General features: G+C 33.7%; 1 long non-coding RNA gene across 5 annotated transcripts in view; it reads left to right on the top strand.

Annotated features, from left to right (window-relative positions):
* The window catches only part of LINC02663 (long intergenic non-protein coding RNA 2663), a 434,814-nt gene that overhangs the window by 315,612 nt on the left and 94,260 nt on the right, over window positions 1-24,942 (top strand). The window contains exon 6 of one of the 5 annotated variants that reach the window (XR_930644.2): window positions 5,614-5,681. The exons of the other annotated variants lie outside the window; for them this stretch is intronic. This is a non-coding gene — a long non-coding RNA (long intergenic non-protein coding RNA 2663). The remainder of the gene's footprint in view (window positions 1-5,613; window positions 5,682-24,942) is intronic. 5 annotated transcript variants of the gene reach the window in all.

Below are 24,942 nucleotides of genomic sequence, written 5' to 3'. Positions count from 1 at the left end.
AAAAGTGTAAAGTATAATTCAAGTACAAAGTGTGATACACATATTTAATATGTCAGGAACCTAGTCCTGCAGGTGTTCAGAGGTAAACAAAAATTTCAAATAAATGTGCTGTGCTGGGAAGCATGCCTTAATGTCCCACTGGGTTGACTGAAGGCATAAAGAATGCTGACTCTTGTCTTAACATGGAAAACTACACCTGCTGTGATTGTTTCTTAATGAACCAGCCCTTAAAAAATTCAGCCCAGTGACTCAACGTTGACTAGGAACTGGGTAGAGAATAGCCCCTCTAATTTTCTCTAAATTTAACAGCCACTAATTGCATTGCAAGACCCCCCTCCTTTGCTGATTACCTTTGAGTGCTCCATGAGATAAGGTGCTAATGAGATTTTCAGTCTTTCTTTTTTCTTTTTTCTTTTTTTAGCAGCACTATTAAGGCTAGTGTATTATGCAAGATTTACCCCCACTGACTCCAGTCCTGTCTGTTTCTCTTCACATGTATACAGAAGGTGATTTTGTTTTATGGAAGATGAGGATTAATTCTCAAGTGAAGATGCTTTATTTCTATCATTAATGAACAAATTGCTTTTTTACAAGGCTTGACTGTAAGAGATTAGCTATTCCTTTCTGGTTATTTAGAGGCCCTTCAGGCTTTCTTTGGGGATCTCATTACTTTCTACAGTGCTTCAAAAAGAGATTAAAGAGTCCTAAAGGATGCTAACATACACATAAACCTGAATATGTTATTCTTTTTGGAAAGAGAATAGGGAAGGAAAGTGGAGGCATGTTGTTTGGGGAGCAAATAAAAACCTAATATATTTTATCCATGTGAGAGTTGTGGCACCTCATTCCACTATTAAACACTCATGGATAATTTGCTTCATTTATTAGACTTTTAAAAGCTGCTAGAGGTAAATAGTAGACGTTATAAAAATGACTTTCTTGTAATTTTCTTGATTATCAGTTCATGAATGACTATTCACCGTGCTTTCAATTATCAGCATCAGAATTCTTACCATCACTATCAGAACGATTAATATTTACTGAACAACTACGATAGCCATAGAACTATGCTAAGTGGGTTTACAGTCTTATTTAATCCCCCAAATAATCCCATGACATTATTTACACTGTTACCCTCATTTGTAATTGAGGAAACTGAAGGTCATACAGTCAGTAAGCATGGAAGCATAAATGGAAACCAGTTCTGTCTGACTTGACAACATTCCAACTTAATTTGTTTTCAAACACATGGATAAAAACTCAGAGTTATCCTACTAGACACGCTGATTAAGACTAAGCTTTGCTACTGAACCATCCATTTTTGTTTCAATTAGTCACAGTCCATTTGGAGGCAAATTTCATGGCAGCCAATTACTAGGTTGGTTGAGCAAACTATTTGATTAAGCAGGAAGTAAACGTCAACAGCTTGATTTTACTAAAATTTAGTGATCTTTAACATATGGATTGTGACATCTTCTCTGACGGTAGCACTGCCTCCTTGTTTACAAGGGGATCTTGTGCAGGGTCTTTGTTCTCAGGCTAGTTTCAGGAGAATCATAGAGAATATCGTTTATTGAGTGCTTACTATGAACCACTCACTGTTCTAAATCCTTTACATAAATTCTCTCATTTATGGATTAAACAACTTTATACAGTAATAATATAATCAACTCCTTTTCACAGAGAAGGGAAACAAGATACACAAAAATTAACTAACTTGTCCAAAATCCCAGTCAATTTCAGAGCCAAGATTCTAACGCAGACAGTCAGATCTTGTCAAGCACTCTTGCTCTAGGCTGCCCCTCAGTTGATGAGAACACCATCCCTTCCAGGTGCTCAGGCCATAATTTGAAGCTACCTTAAACTCCTCTTTCTTTTCGTATGCCACATTCACTCCAACAAAACTCTACTGTGACCAAAATCTCTTGAATCTGACCATTTCTTACTATCTCTGTTGCCTTTGCCCTGATCTCTACCCTCATTTTCAACTAGGTTTTTACGGTATCCTCCTGTTTGCATCTTTCTGCTTGGTTCTTATCTTGCTGCAGTCTCTTTTCAAAATTTTGCTATATTCGATAAAAAATAAAAATTCAGAATACTTTTGGAAGATCAATGGACATTCATTTACGAATTAAATGCTGCCCAAATGACCTCCCAATATCACAGGTAACTAGTGGAGAAATGAGAATCCAGAGAGCCTAATTCATAATGATAGGTGTTTTTTATTATTAATTCTACTGGACATTCCTGTTTCCCATTCAGGATACTTTTGGGGTAGTATTCTGGTTATCCTTTTAGTTTACTGTCAGTCAAAGTGAATCCTTGATTCCAAACAAACCAAAACAACGAACAGACAAACCAGTCAGAGGAATGATCTGTGTAGTTTATGCAATTGTGATGTAATTTTTCTTGCCTTAAAGATATACTCAGATTAATATTTTATTTAGATAGCTAATTCTACCAAACTGAAGTCATACCAGTTCTGCACTGTCTGCTTTTAAAGATCTGAATCCACTGTGTGCCCTGCCTCACCTCATACCAAAATCAGTTTCACCAGTGTGGGCTTTAGTCTTCAGAATACTCACCTCCCAGGGAGGCATCCACAGAAGATCAGCACCTTGTCTTGATTGTCTTGAAGTTATTATGTTCATGCGATCAGAATCTAAGTGAAATTACTTTGTTAGAGGTGCATAATGCCTGAAACTGGCTTCTGGGCAAGGCTTCTATTAAATAGCAAGATTTTGGAGATCTGTAACAGAAGGTATATTATATTGGTGCATCCTAAAATGCGTGATGGAGATTTCCAAAATACCATCAAATTTGATATTGCAGTAGGTGGATAATAGTGTCTCAAAACAATGAACAATATTTTGTAAGAGAAAATAGAGGGAATAGAATATATAAATTTATTTATATATTAAGATTATATATGTTATATTCTTCATTATTGCATACTTTATATTATAGATACGAATTATTTATCACTTACATGTTAAGTAAATATCCTTAGGTGAATTTTTAAAAGTTCTTTATCATTTATTGTGCTTAATAGGTATCTTCAATTTTAATGGAATCAAATTTATCATTTATTTCTTTTAACGTGGACTTTTTTGTTCTGTTTAAGAAATCCTTTCCTACTGACACATAATAGATATTCACCTGTGTTTTCTCCAAATGTTTTTAAATTTGGTTTTGATACTTCAATTTTTCATCCATTTAGAAACATTTTATAATGTAAGAATTCAATTACATATTCTTCCCTTAATAGAAACTGATTGCTGCAGTCCCATTTATTAAATTATCAATTATTTTTTATTTGCTTACATATGTGTGTAGATCTAAGTGTGAGTTCTCCATTCTATTGCATTAGTCTTTTTTTCTTTTTTTTTTTTTAATTCCTGTGCTAAAATAACTCTTGATGTCTACCCCCTTCAAAGGTGCCTGGCTTCTTCATGGTTGTTCTTCTGTATACATTTAAACATCAGTTTACAAGTTCAACAATGACTCCACTCAAATTTGAGAGCTGGGTGAATGTTGCATAGACTCTTCTTTCAATTTGTAAAGAATTGATATATTAAAAATATACTTGTGAATATGGCATATTTCTTCATTATTTAGGTCAATATACTTAATCTTAATAAGATATTTATTAAAATTTTACCAAAATAAGTCTTGTCCATCTTTTTGTGGATATATATGACACTTGTATATAATATGACACATGAAATGACATATCTAATACATAATACATCATATATAGCCTATGTTTGACTACATATAATGTACATTTTGAAAGACTACTTATTTTAACAAACATACATTTGCTACTGCAAATTACACACAAATATATGGTTTATGAAATAAAAAACTTCTAAAATATTTTCTTCTAATACTTTGTTACGCTGTATAGAAATGCAATTAATATTTATATTAATCATATTTCTAGCAACCTTCTTAAGCTCTTTTCTTAATTCTAAAATTTTACCAAATGATTCTGCTATATATTCACATAGGCAATAATATCATATGTGAATGATAATTTTGTTTCTTCCTTTAAAACTTACACATTGTATTCACTTTTTTCAGATTTATTGTACAATATAATCAAAATGGTAATATTAGCTCTTTTCTTTGTTCTCAATTTATTAAGTAGCATAACATTACCCCTTTGTTGAAATGGAACTAGCTACAACCTACTTATAAGGTTAAGTTTGTTTTGCTCCAAATGTTCCAGTTTACCTGATATTCAGTTAAATACTGTCTTCTGAAAACCTGTCTTCTGAAGCTCCTTTCTTCATCTGTCCATCTGAAATACTGCATTGCTTGATATGACATATATATATATATATATATGTTCTGCTTCCCTTGTCATTCTTTTTCTTTAATTACTCACCTTATTTTATTGAAAAATTCTGTTAAAGGTTAAATCTTTTCCTTGTATTTCTAAAAATATCTTTAACCTCTCAGCCACTGGCTTAATGATTTAACATGATATAAATTCACATTCTTGGACTTGATGCCTTTGCAAAAATCTGAGGTTATTATAATCCTTTCTCTTTGTAAAAAATCTTTGTAGTTTTCTTTAAAGTCAATCAGGATTTTTTTCTAACAGCTGCTAATGTAAAAAGTAGTTTAGAAGTAACTTCCCAAAAATTATTTTTGGTTTTCTTCTTCAATTTATATGCAATTTGTGTGTAGAAATTTATTTTGTGTGGTATGAATGTTACTTCTTTTCTGAAGCTTTTTAATCTGTAAGTATATAGGTAGGAACTCATTTTTATTTGTTGCATTTTTTACTTTGAAAAAAAAAATCTCATGAAAGAAACCATAGATGAGAAATTAATAAAATAATGAGATGCTAAAAGATTAGCATCTTAACCATCTTGCATAAATTCCTTCCACAACATGTATTGTTTTCTTAAGTGGTGTTTTACAATGAGATTTTTCATACCGAAGGTGTTTTTATGTAGACACAAAGTATTGGTTATTCTTTAATGTAGCAAAATCCCAGTGAAGATCCATATTCCAACCAATTTTCTGGCCTGTAATGCATCCCAAAGAGAATTTTATTTGCAATTAGATGTCAGTAGGAGATGAAACATACTACAGATACAGAAGGAAAAAAAAAAGAAAAGTCATTACAGTTCCTCTCTGCCAGAAGTATGACCTTTTTCCAAAAGAAAAAAAAAATAAAGATAAACATTCTAATTGTATCTTTGAATCACAAGACTGTTGAAAATACATTTGCTAAAATGAAGGGCAATTAAATGTTCCTACTAAAACAGTTGTTTGTGTTACAGGCTGTTTCTTTAGTTTAGTTTGCAAAAAATAACATCATTATGAGAGATAGAGATGATAAAATAAAATATATTAAGTCTCCCAAATAGCGCAAAATGATTTTTTTCTTTCATTGTTTTTTGTTTGTTTTTTTGAGGTTTTTTGCTGTTTCCAAACAGGCAGTTTTTAAGGAATAGAACATTAATATAATTAATTGAAGGATCTTTATAATTTGAGGTTGTATTTAAATAACCCTGTAGGGGAGTGAGATCTCTCCACTGAAATGGGACAATTTGCCACCTACAATAAATATGTTATAATCATTTTTCTTTCCAGTTTCTCTTGAATTTGCAGTTTACCCATACCCAACAGCCTTATTGGAAGGACTATACACAATTTTCATGGTAAGCATATTATGCATGTGTCATTAAAAAAGAATCATGGCCAGGTGCGGTGGCTGACACCTGTAATCCCAGCACTTTGGGAGGCCGAGGCGGGCGGATCACGAGGTCAGGAGTTTGAGACCAGCCTGACCAACATGGTGAAACCCTGTCTCTTCTTAAAAATACAAAAATTAGCCAGGCGTGGTTGTGGGCGCCTGTAGTCCCAGCTACTAGGGAGGCTGAGGCAGGAGATTTGCTTGAACCCGGGAGGCAGAGGTTGCACTGAGCCGAGATCGCGCCACTGCACTCCAGCCTGGGTGACAGAGTGAGACTGTGTCTCAAAACAAACAAACAAACAAACCGTGTTTTTGTAGAGGTGGAAATGGAATAAGCAGTGAAGAGAATAGGAAGGCACTGTCTGAATTTTATTCTACCGCCCTGCATGTCCCCAAAATACAAATACACATTATTTCAGTCTCCTTCCAGAGTTTGCTTAATTTCATTTTTCTGTGGGATAAGGTAAATAATTTCTTGTAAAACATTCTCTTTGCTGGGAAAAGCTAACCCGATGAACAAGGAAAAATTTCCTAAAGGTTAAATGACTGACTTTGGTTGACTTGATGTTATGTGCTTAAACTCTGTATAAACTTTTGCAAACATTTTCCATTTTCTCCAGCTAACATTCAGTTTATTTGAAGCAAGTATATTTGGAAATCTGGACAAACAGCAGGAAGATAGCCCAAGCAGTCATACATCCATTCACCAACTACCCTATCATTTAACACACCTCTAGTTCACACTGACTTCATGACTAAATTGTGAAAAATGTATTTACACTCTTATGAGTCCAAATGTAAAATTTTTTTTTTTACTTCCATTAATAAATATTCTTGGCCGGGTACAGTGGCTCACACCTGTAATCCCAACATTTTGGGAGGCCGAGGCAGGCGGATCCCCTGAGGTCAGGAGTTCGAGACCAGCCTGGCCAACATGGTGAAACCCCATCTCTACTAAAAATACAAAATAGTAGCCAGCATCATGGTGGGCGCCTGTAATCCCAGCCACTCAGGAGGCTGAGGGAGGAGAAACAGTTGAACCGAGAGGTGGTGGTTGCAGTGAGCAGAGATTGTGCCACTGCACTCCAGCCTGGGTGACAGAGCAAGACTTATTTCTCAAAATAAATAAATAAATAAACAAAAATAAATAAATATTCTTGAAAGCCTACAATTATTTTTCCTAAGTATTTTACTAATTGTTAGGCTATAAAAATTATCTGTCCTCAAAAATCTTACAATGTAGCTGAAGAAGCAATTCTTGTGCGGAAAAAAAAAAAAGCACACAAAAATCACTGTGAAACCACATGCTCTAAGGGAAAAAGAAGCAATATCATCAATTAATGCTATAGATTTCAAGTAGGCAAAAACCATTTAGGAAAATTGGGATCAACCCATTGTCAGAACTTAGAGAAAAATAAAAAGGGGAAGTGCCATTTCACTTTTATAAATATAAAAATAAAATTACATATACTTTCAATATATACATATTACAGCCTTGCAACTTGATATACATGCATATAAGTATACCTACCTGTTTTTCAAAATATAATATAAACTCTAAAAAAGAAGTATCACTGGGCCATGTGTGGTGGCTCAGGCCTGTAATCCCAGGACTTTGGGAGGCCGAGGCAGGTGGATCACTTGAGGTCAGGAGTTCCAGACAAGCCTGGCCAACATGGTGAAACCCTGTCTCTACTAAAAATACAAAAAAAAAAAGAAAAAAAATCAGCGGACATGGTGGTGCATGCCTGTAATCACAGCTTTTCGGGAGGCTGAGGCAGGAGAATCGCTTGAACCCTGGAGGCTGAGATTGCAGTGAGCCAAGATCGCACAATTGCACTCCAGCCTGGGTGACAAAGTGAGACTCCCTCTTAAAAAGAAAAGGAAAAGAAAAAAGAAAAGAAAAGAAAAGAAATATTGCTGTTAATAAGAGATACTCTTAGGGAATGAGATACATTCTTTCTATATTGGAAATATTTTTATATAGTAAATATACAATAAAAATGTGTATAGACGTATTCAATAAACTTTAGCCTAAAGCTGTCTCCTTACCTATTTTAAGTTCAGCCTAAAGATTTCTCTGTACATAGTGAACTGTAACCTAAATGGAGGTGTAAACAGACTGTAGCCTATTCTTGTGCCAGTCACCAAGTTTTGGCCAATCAAAGGTGGCCAGCTGTTCAAGCTCTTTTCAAATGAGGCAAAAGCCAAGCTGCAAACAATCCAGTTGTTTCTGTGCCTCACTTTCGTTTTCTGTACATCACTTTTGTTTTTCTGTCCATAAATCTTCCACCACATGCTGTGCTGAAGTCTCTGAGGCTAATCTGGCTCAGGAGGCCACCCAATTCACAAGTTGTACTCTGTTCAATTAAACTCTTACATTTAATTCCACTAAAGTTTTCCTTTTAACAGATACTTAGGTGGATGATAGATGGATGAATGGGAAAAGAATGGGTGGATGAATGGGTAGAAATATAGACCCATAAATAGACAGATGCATATACCCACAGATAAATCTATAGACACAGAAATGCATCCATAAATCAATATTTCCTGCGGGAAATCTGGAGAAATATATATCAAAATGTTAAAAGTGATGGGAGGTAGGATGTTAGGATATTTCCATGAATTTTACTTTTACTTATGCTTAGCTGATATGTTTGATTTCCCCAGTGTGGCACCATGTTATCTATGCATTAAAATAATGACAATTTTTAAATATGAGTGTTTAATTGTTCCAGCAATAGTTGTTGAAGTCTGTATTTTTACCATTGAAGTGCTTTTGCAGCTTTGTCAAGTATCAGCTGAGTGCATTTGTGTGATCTATTTCTGGGCTTTCTACTTCATTTTATCAAACTGTGTCTCTGTCCCTTTGCCTGTATCATATTAGCTTGATAACATGAGACCTATCATTTTGTTCTTTTTCAAAACTATGCAGCTATCCAGATTACTATATTATCCAGATTATTATATTGTCCAGATTATATTATATTATCCAAATTATTAATTTTTTAATTTAAAAAATTAAAACCCTCTGTCATTTTGGTTGGGATTGGGTTGAATCTATATATCAGTTGAAGAGAATAGACATTAACCACATCGAGTCATCCAAATCATAAACATTAAACTTTGTCTTTAAGGAAATTTGCTCATTTCACCTGTTACAGAAGATACTGGTTTAAAGTTTTTTCTAATATTCCTTTATTAACTGTAAAAATGCCCCCTTTTCCTGATATTTGTAATTTGCACCCTATTTTTAAAAATTCTAACTGCGTGTTTATCATATTTACTGATTATTTCAATAAACCAGCTTTAGGTATCATTGATATTCCTTTCTATTTTTTATTTTATTTTATTTTATTTTATTTTATTTTATTTCATTTCATTTCATTTCATTTCATGTCATTTCATGTCATTTCATGTCATTTCATGTCATGTCATGTCATGTCATGTCATGTCATTTCATTTCATTATTTTGAGACGCAGTCTGGCTCTGTCGCCCAGGCTGGAGTGCAGTGGCAGGATCTCGGCTCACTGCAAGTTCTGCCTCTTGGGTTCACGCCATTCTCCTGCCTCAGCCTCCCAAGTAGCTGGGACTACAGGCGACTGCCACCACGCGCGGCTAATTTTTTGTATTTTTTAGTAGAGACGGGGTTTCACCGTGTTAGCCAGGATGGTCTCGATCTCCTGACCTTGCAGTCCGCCCGCCTCAGCCTCCCAAAGTGCTGGGATTACAGGCATGAGCCACCGCACCCAGCCCCTTTCTATTTGTTTTCTATTTCATTGCTTCTGCTTTTAATTTCCTCCTATTTAATTTAGGTTTATTTTTTCTTTTGTTCTTGTTTATTGAGGTAAAGACTTTGGGCATTTATTTGAGACTGTCTAGATAAGCATTTAAAGCTATACATTTTTTAGAAGCACAACTGAAACCACATACAACAAATTTTGATGTTTTTCATATTTACTTTTCTTAATTTAGAATTTTTTTCTCATTTTTTGTTATTTCTTTTTTGACTCTATGCTACTTTAAAAAGTAGTCTGTAACTTCCAAATATATGCCACTTTCCAGCCATTTTTCTAGTATCGATTTCTAAATGAATTATGTTGTTGGACAGATTTTGATGTGTATGAATTTAATCTTTTACCGTATATTAATGTGTGTTTCAATGCTAATTGTATGTTCTATCTCGGTAAACATTTCATGTGCACTTGAGATAAAAATATATTTTATACTACTGCTGGGTAAGTATTTCTCTAAATATCAAGGGAGTCCAGTTGTTTGTGTTCTCCAATTCTTCCATAATCTTGTTATTTATTTATTTTTGTCTACTTATTCTATCTATTACTGGACAGTGTTAAAATTGTACATGTAATTTTGAATTTGCCTATATTTCCTTGCAGGTTTTTCAGTTTTTAATTTATTTTGAAGATCTCTTATTGGTTGCATATACGTTTACAATTGTGATATGTTCTTGCTGAACTGATTTTTTATGTCTCTCTTTATCCTAGTACTGTTCCATTTAAATCTACTTTTCTGGTATTTCTTTTTCTTTGTTTTCTTTTTTTTTTTTTTTTTGAAACAGAGTTTCGCTCTTGTTGCTGAGGCTGGAGTGCAATGGCGTGATCTCGGCTCCCTGCAATGTCTGTCTCCCAGGTTCAGGTGATTCTCCTGCCTCAGCCTCCCAAGTACCTGGGATTACAGGTGCCTGCCACCACGCCTGGCTAATTTTTTTTTTTTTTTGTATTTTTAGTAGAGACAGGGTTTCACCATGTTGGCCAGGCTGGTCTTGAACTCCTGAACTCAGGTGATCCGCCCACCTCGACCTCCCAAAGTGCTGGGATTACAGGTGTGAGCCACCATGTCCGGCCAGCAATTCTAACTTTCTTAGGCTTAATGTGTATATGTACCTCACTCTTTCACTTTTAGCTTATTTAAATTTTAAGCTAACCGAGTTTTTTGTTGGAAGCATTTAGTTGGGACTTGATTTCTTAAAATTTATTCAGACCATTTCTGCATCTTAATGAGACTGTTTTTGCAATTTATGTTTAAACAGTATAATTAGATTTAAATTTACCATTTTTCAATTTCTTTTCCACTTTTCTATCTATTCTTTGCTGTTTTTCTACTCTTTTACTGCCTTCTTTTTTATTAACTAAGTAGTTTCATGATCCTGCTACATGTTTAATATTAGTTATTTAGCTAGACAGCTTCAACTTACAGCATTAGACTTTTAAATATTATCTCACTTTATGTATAATAGAAAATACCTGTAACAAAATACTTTCATTACTCCACTCTGACCCTTTCTACTATTTTGGTCATATATTTTACTTCTGTATATATTACATGCCAAAACATATCATATAATTTGCTTTGAAGTGTCAATTAGCTTTTAATTTTTAAAAGAAAAATATATTTTATATTTTATATAACAAAAAATATATTATATATTTTTCCTTCTCTTTATCTCTTTGTTTAGGTTCAAGTTTATTTCTGGTATCATTTTCTTTACACTTGAAGAAATTCTATTAATATATCTAGTCATTGTGGTTTGCTACTCAAACTTTTCTCAGCTTTTGTGTTGTCTTTTTTTTAACCTTACCATCAGCTTAGAAGTAAATTATTGCTAAATAAAGAATTCTAGCTCAATATGTCTATTTTCCTTTTAGTGCTTAAAAATTATGAATTCATTGTCTTTTGGCATGCATAATTTTTGATTAGAAGTCTGCAGTTGTGCTTACAATTTTTCCTACAATTTTCCCTCTGTACGTATTGTGACTATTTGCTCTCATTACGTTCAAGGCTATCATTTAGTTACTGGCTTTAAGCAAAATAATTATGATGAGCTTTGGTATATGCTGTTTGTGTCTGTATCTGTGTATGTTGTATATAACATGTTAGTGTTTGTTGTTCCTGGAAATATGAATTTGTCATTTTCATCAATATTGGAAGATTTCTGCATATTTTTCCCTCAGAATTGTTCGTGCCCTCCCCCTTGTCTCTTTCTGAGAATCTATTTTTACATATGTTAGAGTGTTTGATATTACCCTGAAATTTTTTTCTTTGCCTTTTTATCTGTTTGCTTAATGTTTAAGCCTAAAAATCTTCAAGTTCGCTGATCTTTTTTTTACTTTGTTTATTTTCTCTCAGAAATCACAGTCCTGCACTGCTTGTTGTTCAATATCTGAAAGCCATTGTATCTATTTTACTGTTTCTACTTGTGTTTTGTGGGAGGATGGTGTGTGGTCCTTGTTATTCCACCTTGTCTAGACATATAAATTTGTAAGACTTCTAAGTTATATTTTCTATATGATTGTTATATATTTGGAGCCCGATGGGTATATGTTTTATATAGTGTTTTATCTAATGATAGTTATATTTAGAGTGTTATCTACTTAAGAATTTACTCTAGTAATATTACCAGTGCATTCATATGTGAGGTAAACTGTCTTTATTTAGAAACATATATTAAGTATACATCTACTCATAAAAATGAGGCCCTCGTGATTAGGCAGGGAGCGCAGGATAAATAGGAAGAGCACATATTTTAAGGCAGTGAAACAACTTCATATGCCACTGTAATGGTAGATACATGTCATGATATTTGTCCAAACCCACAGAATGTACAACACTATGAGTAAGCCCTAATGTAAACTATGGATTTGAGATGATTATATTAATGTGATTTTACCAATTGTAATAAAAGTACCACCTGGTGGGAGATGTAAATAGTGGAGAAGGCTATGCATGTGTTGGAGCAGGAGGTATATGGAAAATATCTGTGCCTTCTGTTCAATTTTGCTGTGAATCTGAAACTGCTCTGAAAAAATAAAGCCCATTAATAAATCAGACCCTCTGCTCTTGATTTTCAAGAAGCAACTCTGCATTGGAAGTTAACAGTTGAGCAGAAAAGTTGAATGGGGATGAGGTCACATGAAACATGTGTTGGAGAAATGTCCCACAGAGATAGAAAAATGGAATATTTGTAGTGGTGGTTCTGGTCCAGGAAGCTTTAAAATGGACATGCCTAACAATCCATTGTAAGTGGTTTGCTGAGTGATATCATACTGAAGCTTCTCTTTGTCTCTTCAAACCTACTGTATAAAACATACAGTTGTCTAGTGTGAGCAACAAATTCTTCATTATTGAGCAAAATGCTCTATGTTCCTCATCAACATTAACACAGAAAGTGGTACAAATCATAATCATCAGGCAGAAGATAGGTGCAAGGTGTATCAAAGCAGTAGAGCAAGAAATAACCATGGAATTTTAAGTCCTCGGGAATTCACTGAAATCCTGCGTAAGGCATTCAACTTATCTAACAAATTTAAATCCCAAAGAACATATTGACTTCAAATTACATCAGAAGTAGTTAAACTCTGCTTAACAGTATTTGTTTTTGACAGCTAAAGTTTCCACTTTATACTTTTCTTGTAGATTTTTCTCATTTTTATTTGCGGATTTTATGATTTTATGTCTACATCTTGAGTGCTCTTATTTGCTTGCTTACACATAGTTCTTTCTCTTTTGGTTATGGAAAGGGAAAATTAAAATTTAGTAATATTCAAGATGTGTATATCTATGCCCAAATGAGAATTTTTCACTCCTTATAAGATGATAGAACTTTAAATTTTAAGTTTATAATAAATTTTCATAGCTTTTCCATTTATATATAGAATAATTGTCTTTGTGCGTTGGTTTATTCTTCTGTAAAATAAATAAAACTTTCATCACTTTTAGAAATAGATGTTTTATTAAAACATCATATATTTAAATATGCTTGTAGAACACTAGTCTCCTAAACTGATTGTTAATATACTTGGGAAGTGCTACTTACTATATGTTTTTCTAGAAGATTTACAGTGAACATTGGTACATTAAATACATGTGACAGTAATTGTGAATTAATACAATAAAGTGAAATGTGTTTTTTTATTTTAATGTAGTCTTTGCTTATCTTATTAGAAGAAAAAAATTATTTTTCCAGATACTATCTAAACACATGCTGCAGAATTATGTTCTGTATGCATTGGACAACATTTGGAAAGTATTATTTATAGGCCTTGTGGAAGAGTGCCAGTAAGTTTCCATGTTTGATTGTAACACATCAGTGTAGTGCTGTTTTTGTTCATGCTTATATCTCTAATGGAATTATTTCTTTATGGCAGTTACTTTCAACAATTCTTCTAAGTTGCCTCTGATACAAGTCATGTGAAAGCTTAAAGAGTTTTTTTTCATTAGTTATTATTGAAATGTTTTCTGCCATTTGACCAGAGGTACACTAACACTGAATTTGTGTTTCTAGATTGTTGAGTCATTAAGCACAAGCCTCAATAAACACTCGAATATCTGTCCACATTGCTGGTACAAGGCTGTGTTCAAATGCTGAAAACAGGATGAAAGAGTATCCACAGGCTATTCATATTGCTGTACTAAATATATTTCTTTTCCAATAACATCTTAGTTTCAGAAAGCGTTCATTGTATTAGTCACTATTATTAAATGCCAAAACAATGGTGATTGGTGACATTCCTTGCTTGGCAATACTATTTGAAGGAAAGCAGGGAAGATATTTTCCCAGAGCAGTATTTTTTTGTTCTCTATGGAAACCAGAGCAACCATGCCAAGACTGTGTGTTTGGCTTGCGTTACAGTTAGCACCCAACTCAATATCAAATGCTCTGACAGCTCTAGAGTTATGTGGGGACACCATGGAAACTTTTTTACATAGATTTTTAGCAATTATATCCTGTTGATGCAAAATTGACTGGTGAAAGTGACAATGTATGAAACTCTTAAGTTTGCTGATAATTAACTAAAACTGTGTTTTACAAAAATGATTTTTCTATTCAGTGCTTTCATTTTGTGAAGCATATATTCTGTGCAAATATCCTACAGCAAGTTTGTCAGGCACCATATGTAGCCATGATTTTGCTAGCTATATATGACAGACTTTCAAAAGGCTTTTTATATTTGGTATGTTCAGTTAAAAAAATACAACCTTATGCATCTTTTAAATTTTCTGCCCTGCATATTACATCATAATTTCAACATCAAATCACCTATTTTGAAGTCCATAGGTCTCTTAATTTTTCCTCAGTATATAATTGTAAAACAAATTTTGTACCTACTTCACTGTCTTAAGAAGTATCCATGCAAAATTGCAGTTTTTTTCATTCTATCTTGATCAGAAAATACTTAGAGGTAATATTTGGTTTAACAGTTGAAAAAAATCACTTTTATAAATAATATATTGACACCTAGAATTATTTTTAATAACCCAAGATGATTCTATAGAAGTCATGGTTGGCATTTTTGTCTACCCCAATGGTAGGCAGCCAATAATTTGATTTTAAGTTAACATCTTTTTATGTGAATTTCTGACATACGACAAAATTGTTGAATAATTTGTTTTCAGATTTTGCCCTGATTTTGTTTAAAAAATAAGGTGCAGAAGATGAAAAAATTGCAGTAACAGTACTACTGTTTATTAAACACAATTTATGTAAAGATGCAAGTCACTATGTATAGTTAAAGTAGCAAAATGTTGGTCTTAGCCTAAAGCTTATGTAAAAATGCCAGACATATTTAATGAAATATTGTACCTAAACTGTACTTTAAGTTGAAATTTTGCAGTATATTTTAGCTCCTGGAATGCCCTATCACCTTCTTTCACATGTCCATATAACTTATACATTGTTATACATTGAATGTTTCTATATATTTGCCATGAAGTTTTATACAAGAGTGGCTGTTGTGGCAAATATGCCACGCAAAAGCAGATTGTCTTTGATATTTATGAATATATTTATTTGATTCTCTTTTTTGATGTTGTTGCTACTGATCTATTAGGTGATTAATTCTATTAGTGCTAAATAAGTCATTTTAAGAGGATGTACATATACCTGGCTCAAGTATTTTTACAATCACTTTTCTGAGATTTTCATAATTATAATTGTGAAAGTTGTCAGAATCAAGTTGGAACTACTGTGTCAATCCCTGACAAATGGAGCTGAGGCAGGTCATGAATGGAGGGGTCTATGCTTGCATGCCTAATAACAAGAACCGTTATAAAAGACTGAAAATTGCCATCTTGCACAAAGGCTACTGCAACATTACAAGTGTATACACACACACACACACACACACACACACACACAAATGCACACACACACTTTTCTGTGACTTCTGTGAGGGCATCTGCCCAGCAAGTGCCTGGTCAACCTTGTGTTGACACCACCCTTATTACTGATCCCTGTAGCCAAGAATAATTGTTTCAAAACAATTAATTCTTCTCATTTTTCTTTGACACCTCTTACTTTCCTTTACTTTTCTGAATACACACGTAGTTTACTATGGCACATGTATTCCCATTGTGATGCCCATTCCTGAATAAATACCATTTTCTATTGGAGAGTCTCTCTTTCTGTTCATTTATAAGTTTGATATATTTTAGTTTTCAGAGGAGGGATCAAACTAGCTCACCTAGGATGTTAGTGACCCTTGGAATCCAATGTACTACAAACATTGAGTCCTTGTAAGAGCTCTGCTTCCACCCTTCAGCTTTTCTCTCTGATGAGTCTCCTCTGAGATTCTCAGACTTCCTCCTCCCTTTGGTGAGCTATTTTGCCTCTTTATTTGGGATCTGTTTCTGTTATAAGATTGCCTTAAGTAAAGGACCTTGCATCCCTCTTGCGGCTATAAACATTAGTTTATGTATTTATTAGCAACGCTTTTTGGTATAAAAAGTTTCCTTTTGGTTTGAGTACTGTGTCTTCTACAGAATTTATATTCTGTCTGTGAGGCATGTATTTTCCGGTGAATTAACTTTTAGCTCTTTCTGCATGTGTAATTTAATTTTTTTTGTTTGGTCTGCATACCTGTTTTAATATTTCTGTGAGCAAACTTATTTTGGTTTTATTTTTAGTTGATTATGTATACCTGTAAATAATTCGTGTCTTTTACTTTTTTTTTCCCTGCTCATTTATGAAAATCTTCCAAGAGCAAAAAATAAACATTCTAAATTGTGGGTGCAGAATGGCTAATTAAAACCCACTAGGGTGGGTCACCACAGTCTAAGACGCTGTTCCAAACTCCTGACATTCCCTGACAAGATTTATAGGATTTTGTTTGCTCTGGGGATATTAACAAGAAATAGACCGGGACTCTCAAAATTCTGAAGCATGTCAAGCCCTCTGGGAATCCAGCCAGTGACATGGCTTTTCCTTGTGCATGTTTTTAAATGAAAGAGCATCGTGGGGAATATTCAAACTCCTCAAGCTTGATTTTCTGACTTGAATTAGAAACTACAACTATAGGGTTAACATGTAGTCTTCGAAGTCCTCTATCTCTCTATTTGTTTCCTGCCTACTTTGAATCTGCTGACTTTTCTACTGATATTAAGATAAACTCACTGCTTATATCACTCCAGCCAAGATAGGGGAAAAAAATATCTTAAAGGGCTTTCAAATTAATGGCTTTACAAATTACAACAGCTCCATGGCAACCAAAACCCTAAACACCTGAGTCATCCCTTTTGGAAATGTAAATTTAGGTTTGCCTAACTACCAACTGCTTAGGGTGATAGAACAGTTAACCGAAGGATTGATATTCTAAAAAGAAAATAACTACTATGTTTATAAAAGTTAGGCTTTCAGATCAAATAAGTCAAAATCTTGAGCTCAAGACAATAATATAACTCTGTCCGGCATAAAAAAAATTGCTTTGTCTGCCATACAGGAGCCAAAAAAAAACCCTTAAAAAATCTTTAAAACACTTTTCTAAAATGCCTCCTCACCTGCACTGACTAATTAAGACAACTGGACTAGCAAACAAAAGAAAGATTTCTTACTAAAAATTTGAGCCTTCTTGGAGATACTGGTTTCTTTATGCAATTCAATCAGTCCTAGCTAAAATGTAAATATTTGAAAATTTAACCCCTCAACTAATTGAAAACTGAAAAAAAGGGGAAAAAAAGGAAAAGAATTTGTTTTTCCAATCAAACTGATTTACCTGAAATTTTGGTCAACAGTCTTCAAAGGATTATTATCAGAGCAAATAAAATTAGCCGTGTGAACAGGTCTCATTTTGTCAAAAATATAATTTTTGGACTCAGCTGTTATTTTATAAACCGGTAAATATATATTGCTATTTGTTAATGTCTTTTGGATAAAACTTTAAAATAAAAGCTATCTCTGTGTGTGTGTGTGTGTGTGTGTGTGTGTGTGTGTGTTTAGGTGTTGTTATGCATGTGACTATATGTTGTACATTGTGTCTACATGGTAGAATCTCTACTTAGTTTACCAGAGGTCCCTTAAGAAATTCTACTTAAATTGGCTTAAATACATGGGTACACATTTAATTGTTAAAATATTTAGTACTTACACCAAATGTCTTTTAGTTTATGTGAATTAATTTTTGATAAATTAGCTTGTTTTAAATTTGTTGATAACATAAAAATAGAAATGCCCTCAGAATTGTCAGCATACATTTTTGCCTGGATTTACTGGTCAGCCATGATTACAATTGTCCCTGATTGATGTTTTAAGCTGTCAAAGTTTGACATACAGATTATAAAACTATAAATGCAGCTTTATTAAAAGCAAAATGATATTTGTGTAACACTTTTATAAAAAAATTTATATTGTTGGTTTACTAAAAACAGCTGTGTCTTCTGAGTTATCAGCAAAATTCCCATCTGTTTAACTTTGTTTCTTAAGTGAATACCTGATATTCACAGGCTCTAAAAATGGTTAACCGAAAGACAGCTTGAAATAATGACTAGCTTTGTTTAATATCTTAGTTTTCATAACTAAACTAGGTATAATTTTGTTAAATACATAAACTAGGTAAATGTTAATAAGATAAACTTTTATTAATAAACTTTTAATGCCATTTGAAATCTTAAAGTTATGTTAATGATGGATACTCATTAAATTAGTTATTCACAAATGAAATAAACTAATAAAACATACATTGCTTAAAATAAATATAAATTTTTTCTTGGCTTCTTAATTTTTTATAGAAAGATAATGTGTTTGAGTCCATGAATATATATAAACATTATAGAATGCAGAAATATATCTCTAAAAATTATAAGACTGTTCTCATCTACAGAATACTGATATGTGACAATTTAAAATGTCTAAAGTTTTCAGTAGAAATTAAGGTTTCTAAGAGTCAAAAATTCTAATTTTTATATCTATATATCTCATTCTGTATACAAAGGTATAACAAAAAAAGAGAATACCTTTGTATGAGAAATAATCTTATTTGCTAGATTTTTTTGTCGTCACGTAAAATGACTGGTTATTTAAGAAAAAGGAAGTATACGCAGGGCATAGTGGCTCACGCCTGTAATCCCAGCACTTTGGGAGACCGAGGTGGGTGGATCACGAGGTCAGGAGATCCAGACCATCCTGGCCAACATGGTGAAACCCCGTCTCTACTAAAAATACAAAAATTAGCTGAGGGTGGTGGCACATGCCTGTAATCCCAGCTACTGGAGAGGCTGAGGCAGGAGAATTGCTTGAACCTAGGGGCAGTGATTGCAGTGAGCCGAGATTGCACCACTGCACTCCAGCCTGGCGGCAGTGCAAGACTCCGTCTGAAAAAAACAAAACAAAACAAAACAAAAAAAGAAGCAGTATAGGACAAAACTAAAGGTCTAAGTAAGTCACGAAAGGTTTATGAAAAATGAATTTCTGAAAGAAATTTTGTGTGTGATTAAGTTGGCTATAATTAGAAGGGAATTACAAATTTTTCTAAACATTGAGCTTTAATATTAAAAATATACTGACACAAAACTAATATGTTGTCCCCTTAGCTTAGAACAAGAAGATTTCCTTGAAGTATTGATCTGATCTTAGTAAAATTTGTGAGTGGTTTTGATTAATTTTGGAATCTGTTTCTTTAAATTTCCAAACATCTTCTAAACTGCAGCTTTACAGTGTAGAGAATATTTATTTCTCCAGTACACTTGATTCTGTACTCTTTGCTTTTCTTGACATGTCTGAATTGTTCCATGTAATCATAAAACTTTCTGTACTTTTCCTAAGAGCCACGTATTCCGCTTCACAAGTTACTAGTTTTCTTGTTCACATTCCTCTTTTATGTGGTGTATACTCATAACCTTGGACATACACTCTTCCTATGTCTGATTAAGTTCACGCAGATTTTCATCAGGTTTAACTTCCCAGTTATCTCAGTGCGTTTTTCATAAGAAGAAGCAGTCACACTGCAGGGGCTTTTCTTTAGCTTTTATGTAACTGGCTTAAGAAAAAATATGTTCTGTTTCATCAGTGTAACTTCATGTGTTTCAAATTGTATTTATTGGTTTTTATTGATTACTTAGGAAAAATGAGTTTCAAAAATGTTCTGTGTAACTTTCTGTATTGCTTTTGAAATCTTTTGATTATCACTCTGATTAAGTGATGACAATTATTTCATAATGACATGTGATACTGTTTCAATCAGTTGTTTTAAACTGTTGACACCTGTGGCAGCTTCTCTAGTATTAAAGTTCTAGATTAAGTCTTTTCGACCAGCATTAACTTTGATACTTTCTAGTTGGGTCCAGAGAACTTCAAAGGAAGTACCTCTCATTTTATAGAGATATGAAATAAGTAGGCTTCTTTGATGTGTTAAACTGTATGGGAAGTGTGGTCAAATGACAAGTGATTCTGGATCTTCTTTCAGTTACATTCTTGGGTATACTATTAATAAGTATTTTAAAAATTATATAACTTCAAAGAAATCTAATAACATTAGTCATAATTTTGGTGGTCATATGAAAATATTGTATGCCATGGAAATAACCAAATTTCCTTGTCAATTGCTAGTTATAATGAACGTCCATCAGAATTTTAACTATGGCTATTCTATTAATAAGTCTTTGTCATCAACACTTTTGACTTCTCACTAAAGAAACCTGTAATCAAATTCATGAGAAAAAGTCTAACAAGTACTCTTGAATACAGGGTTTTAATAACTTTAAGATCGATGAAGTAAATAAAAATTTTCCAGAACGCTAATGAAGCTACTGATGAATTTGTGAAACTACTAAACAAGATCAAGCAGAATGAAAATGTAATACATGAGATTGAATAACTAATAAAAATATTGGTTGTATGGTTTTAATTTGAAATATTGTTGGTTCTTTACTTAAAGCTTTTGTTTTTCAGATTTAAGAAAAGTTTCTCTTAAACAATCTCGTATTTCTCTAATGACCAGTGGTGATTAGCTTTTTTTCATATGTTTGTTGGCCACATAAATGTCTTCTTTTGAGAAGTGTCTGTTCATATCCTTCACCCACTTTTTGATTGGTTATTTTTTTTCTTGTAAATTTGCTTAAGTTCCTTGTAGATTCCGGATATTACACCTTTGTCAGATGGATAGATTGAAAAAATTTTCTCCCATTCTGTAGGTTGCCTGTTCACTCTGATGATAGTTTCTTTTGCTGTGCAGAAGCTCTTTAGTTTAATTAGATCCCATTTGTCAATTTTGGCTTTTGTTGCTATTGCTCTTGGTGTTTTAGTCATGAAGTCTTTGCCCACGCCTATGTCCTGAACGGTATTGCCTAGGTTTTCTTCTAGGGTTTTTATGATTTTAGGTTTTACGTTTAAGTCTTTAATCCATCTTGAGTTAATTTTTGTATAAGTTGTAAGAAAGGGGTCCAGTTTCTGTTTTCAGCATATGGCTAGCCAGTTTTCCTAGCACCATTTATTAAATAGGGAATCCTTTCCCCATTGCTTGTTTTTGTTAGGTTTGTTGAAGATCAGATGGTTGTAGATGTGTGGTGTTATTTCTGAGTTCTCTGTTCTGTTCCATTGGTCATTAGAGAAATGCAGATCAAAACCACAATGAGATACCATATCACTCCAGTTAGAATGGTGATTATTAGAAAGTCAGGAAACAACAGATGCTGGAGAGGATGTGGAGAAATAGGAATGCTTTTACACTGTTGGTGGCAGTGTAAATTAGTTCAACCATTGTGAAAGACAGTGTGGTGATTCCTCAATGATATAGAACCAGAAATACCATTTGACCCAGCAATCTCATCACTGAGTATATACCCAAAGGATTATAAATCACTCTGCTGTAAAGACACATGCACACATCTGTTTATTGCAGCACTATTCACAATAGCAAAGACTTGGAACCAACCCAAATGTCCATCAATGATATACTGGATAAAGAAAATGTAGCATATATATACCATAGAACACTATGCAGCCATAAAAAGAATTAATTCATGTCTTTTGCAGGAACATGGATGAAACTGGAAACCATCATCCTCAACAAAGTAACACAGGAACAGAAAACCAAACACCATATGTTCTCACTCATAAGTGGGAGTTGAACAATGAGAACACATGGACTTAGGGAGGGAAACAACACACACTGGGGCCTGTTGGGGGTGGGGGGAAGGGGAGGGAGAGCATTAGGACAAATACCTAATACATGTGGGGCTTAAAACCTAGGTGACAGGTTGATAGGTGCAGCAAACCACCATGGCACCTGTATACCTATTTAACAAACCTGCATATTCTGCACATGTATCCCAGGACTTAAATAAGTAAAATTAAAAATAAAATTAAAAAAACTATCTAGTGTTTACAAGAATTTGGGAAAGTATGCTTTTGTGAACAAACATAAAAACATTTACTTTTTCTCCCAACTTAATCCCTTCAAAATTTGGAAACTATCAATGAGTATCCTTATATTTATGACAATATAGTTTTTGAATAAGTTTGATAAGAGTCTGCTTTTTTTTTAATAAGATAAAATTGAAAACATTCCTGTATCACTTAGATTTTGATGGGAATGCCGTATTTAAATTGCTCATAGGCCCTGCTGGCAAAATTTAAAGCCTGCCTTGGTTTGGCTTTGCTGCCTCAAGAGGTTTTTAAACCTGAGACTCCTACGTAGTCAAATCACTATTCTTTCTGCACTTGTATAAATGATCAGGCAAAATTTGATAACACTTAGCTTATTTTACAAGCAAATTTGCCTTACTGTTAACTTTGGTAGAAATTGGGATGACTGTGTAGAGAAAGTTATGTTACTAAAGAAACACTATGGTACACCTGCTATTGGATTGTAGACTTTTACATTGCTTTTGAGTTACTGTTATCAATCTGTAGACTGGACTGGATCCTAAATTCTTCTGAGAAACTCCATTCCAACTTTCTTCCATGGAACTACTAAAAGGCAGAATTGCTCTGATCCTAAAGCCCTCTAAGGTAACACTAGATGAATTTTAAGACACAAGTGTCATGCTTGATACATGAGCCACACAGAAAGTTCACCAAATTGCCTGATGCTATTACCAGAGACATTCAAACTGCAAGTCAGGGTAAGAAGCTGACGTTTTCACACTGTAGAGAGCTTTTCCCAAGATACGAAAAAAAGACTTCATATTATAATACTCTACCCTTATCCCACTTAATGCCTATATTTTTTACTTGGAAAGACAATGGTGGAATTAAAATTTCATAATCAGTAACTTCTGAGGATATCTTGACATAATGTTGAATCATGCCAAACCTAGATCTTTACGTGACCTAGGGGATCCTTTAATACTTTACTTACATGGTGAATAACTTTGGCAACATCTCTAACGTATCTTTTTCTTCAGAGGTACTATTGGTTCCTTTTTAGAACAATCTTTGCTTTAATCCAACCCAATCATGAGATACTAAGTGATATAATTTCTGTATATTATGTATTGGTTAAATAAGAAAGTATCTATGCTATTGCTAACACTACATCCTGTACCTGGATAAATTCCTCTGGGGAATTTGAGACCCAGATACATAAAATAAGAAGACAGGCCACGTGGTTACAACAGGTCTTACCTAATTCCCCATGATCATTTAATGTATGGAGTTAAGCTTAGGTTCATGACTCAAAAACACATTACTGTTAATTTAACTTTGTATTTCCTTTTTCAAAACTTTTAACCTCTTCCTTGTACGTCTGCAGAAGTAGAAGTCCTAACAGAATAAGGCCGGTCCAGCACTTTGATGTGATAGCCAGTATCTATGGAACAAACAAAAATTGAACATAACAAGGGACTCCAGGTACACTTAGCCTAAGAGCCACTTCCTGGAGATATTCCTTTTTGCTCAACTGTAATAAGTGGGTTTTGACACTCATTTCTAGTTCCCAGTTACTTCCTCTCATGTGGAACTGGCCAACAAACTTAAAGAGGTCCATCCTGGTAACAAGGGACAATTAAAAGCTAACTCAAAGTTGATTGATCAACAATGCTTTGGAGAAAGAACTTGATCAAAACGGGGAAATGTAAAAGTTGTCAGAATCAAAATGGAGTCACTAGTGTGAAGCCCTAACAAATGAAGCTGAGGAAGGCCATGAAGGGTGGGTTCTCACACTTGAACTATCACAGAAGACTCTGCAGAAACCACAACCATGCACAACCATGCACAGGATGTGTGTGTATATATGTACATATATGTATACATATGTACGTATTATGTGTATATATATATAATTCTATGAGGAATTATACATATATACATATCATTATGTATATATGTATACATATATACATATATGTCCATATATATACATACGTACATATATGTGTGTGTATATGCATAATTCTATGAGGACATCTGCCCAGGAACTGCCTGTCCAACATTGGACTGATGTCACCTTTGTTCTTGACATTTATAGCCAAGGATAATTGATTTGAAGCACTTGTGTAACCCTTCTTGTTTTTTCGTTAAAAGCCTTTCTCTTCCTTTAACTCCCTCACTATGCACATAGTTTACTATGGCGTATTTATTACCATCGAAATGCCCACTCCTGAATACATATTATTATTTAGAGAGTCTCCTGCTCTTATTTGCCATTAAGTTTGACATAATATTTCTCTTTGCATTAAAATGAAAATTAAAATGATATCAAAACAGCATCTGTCTCTTTCTCTCTTTCTCCTGCATGATTTATGTCAATTTTAATGCTAGATCACATAGCACCTTTGTGCAAATTATAAAGCAGCACCTCTTACTTTTGGCAAATTCAAGGGTGTGTGGCTTGGAAATGGGCAGTAGCTTGGGTTTGAGCTCCCAGTTGCCCCTTCAGCTGAGTGCTTTTATTCAGGGCACTTCCTATTTTTCTTTTCTTATGGCCCTACACACTTTTAATACTTAATTTTTAATAAAGAAGGGTCAAGTAAATTTAGTAGAGAAAGTGGAAAG

The sequence above is a fragment of the Homo sapiens genome, chromosome 10 (assembly GCF_000001405.40).
Source record: "Homo sapiens chromosome 10, GRCh38.p14 Primary Assembly".
In the NCBI taxonomy this organism is placed as follows: Eukaryota; Metazoa; Chordata; class Mammalia; order Primates; family Hominidae; genus Homo; species Homo sapiens.
Note: the sequence above shows the minus strand (reverse complement) of the source record. Positions and strands in the feature narration are given on the sequence as shown.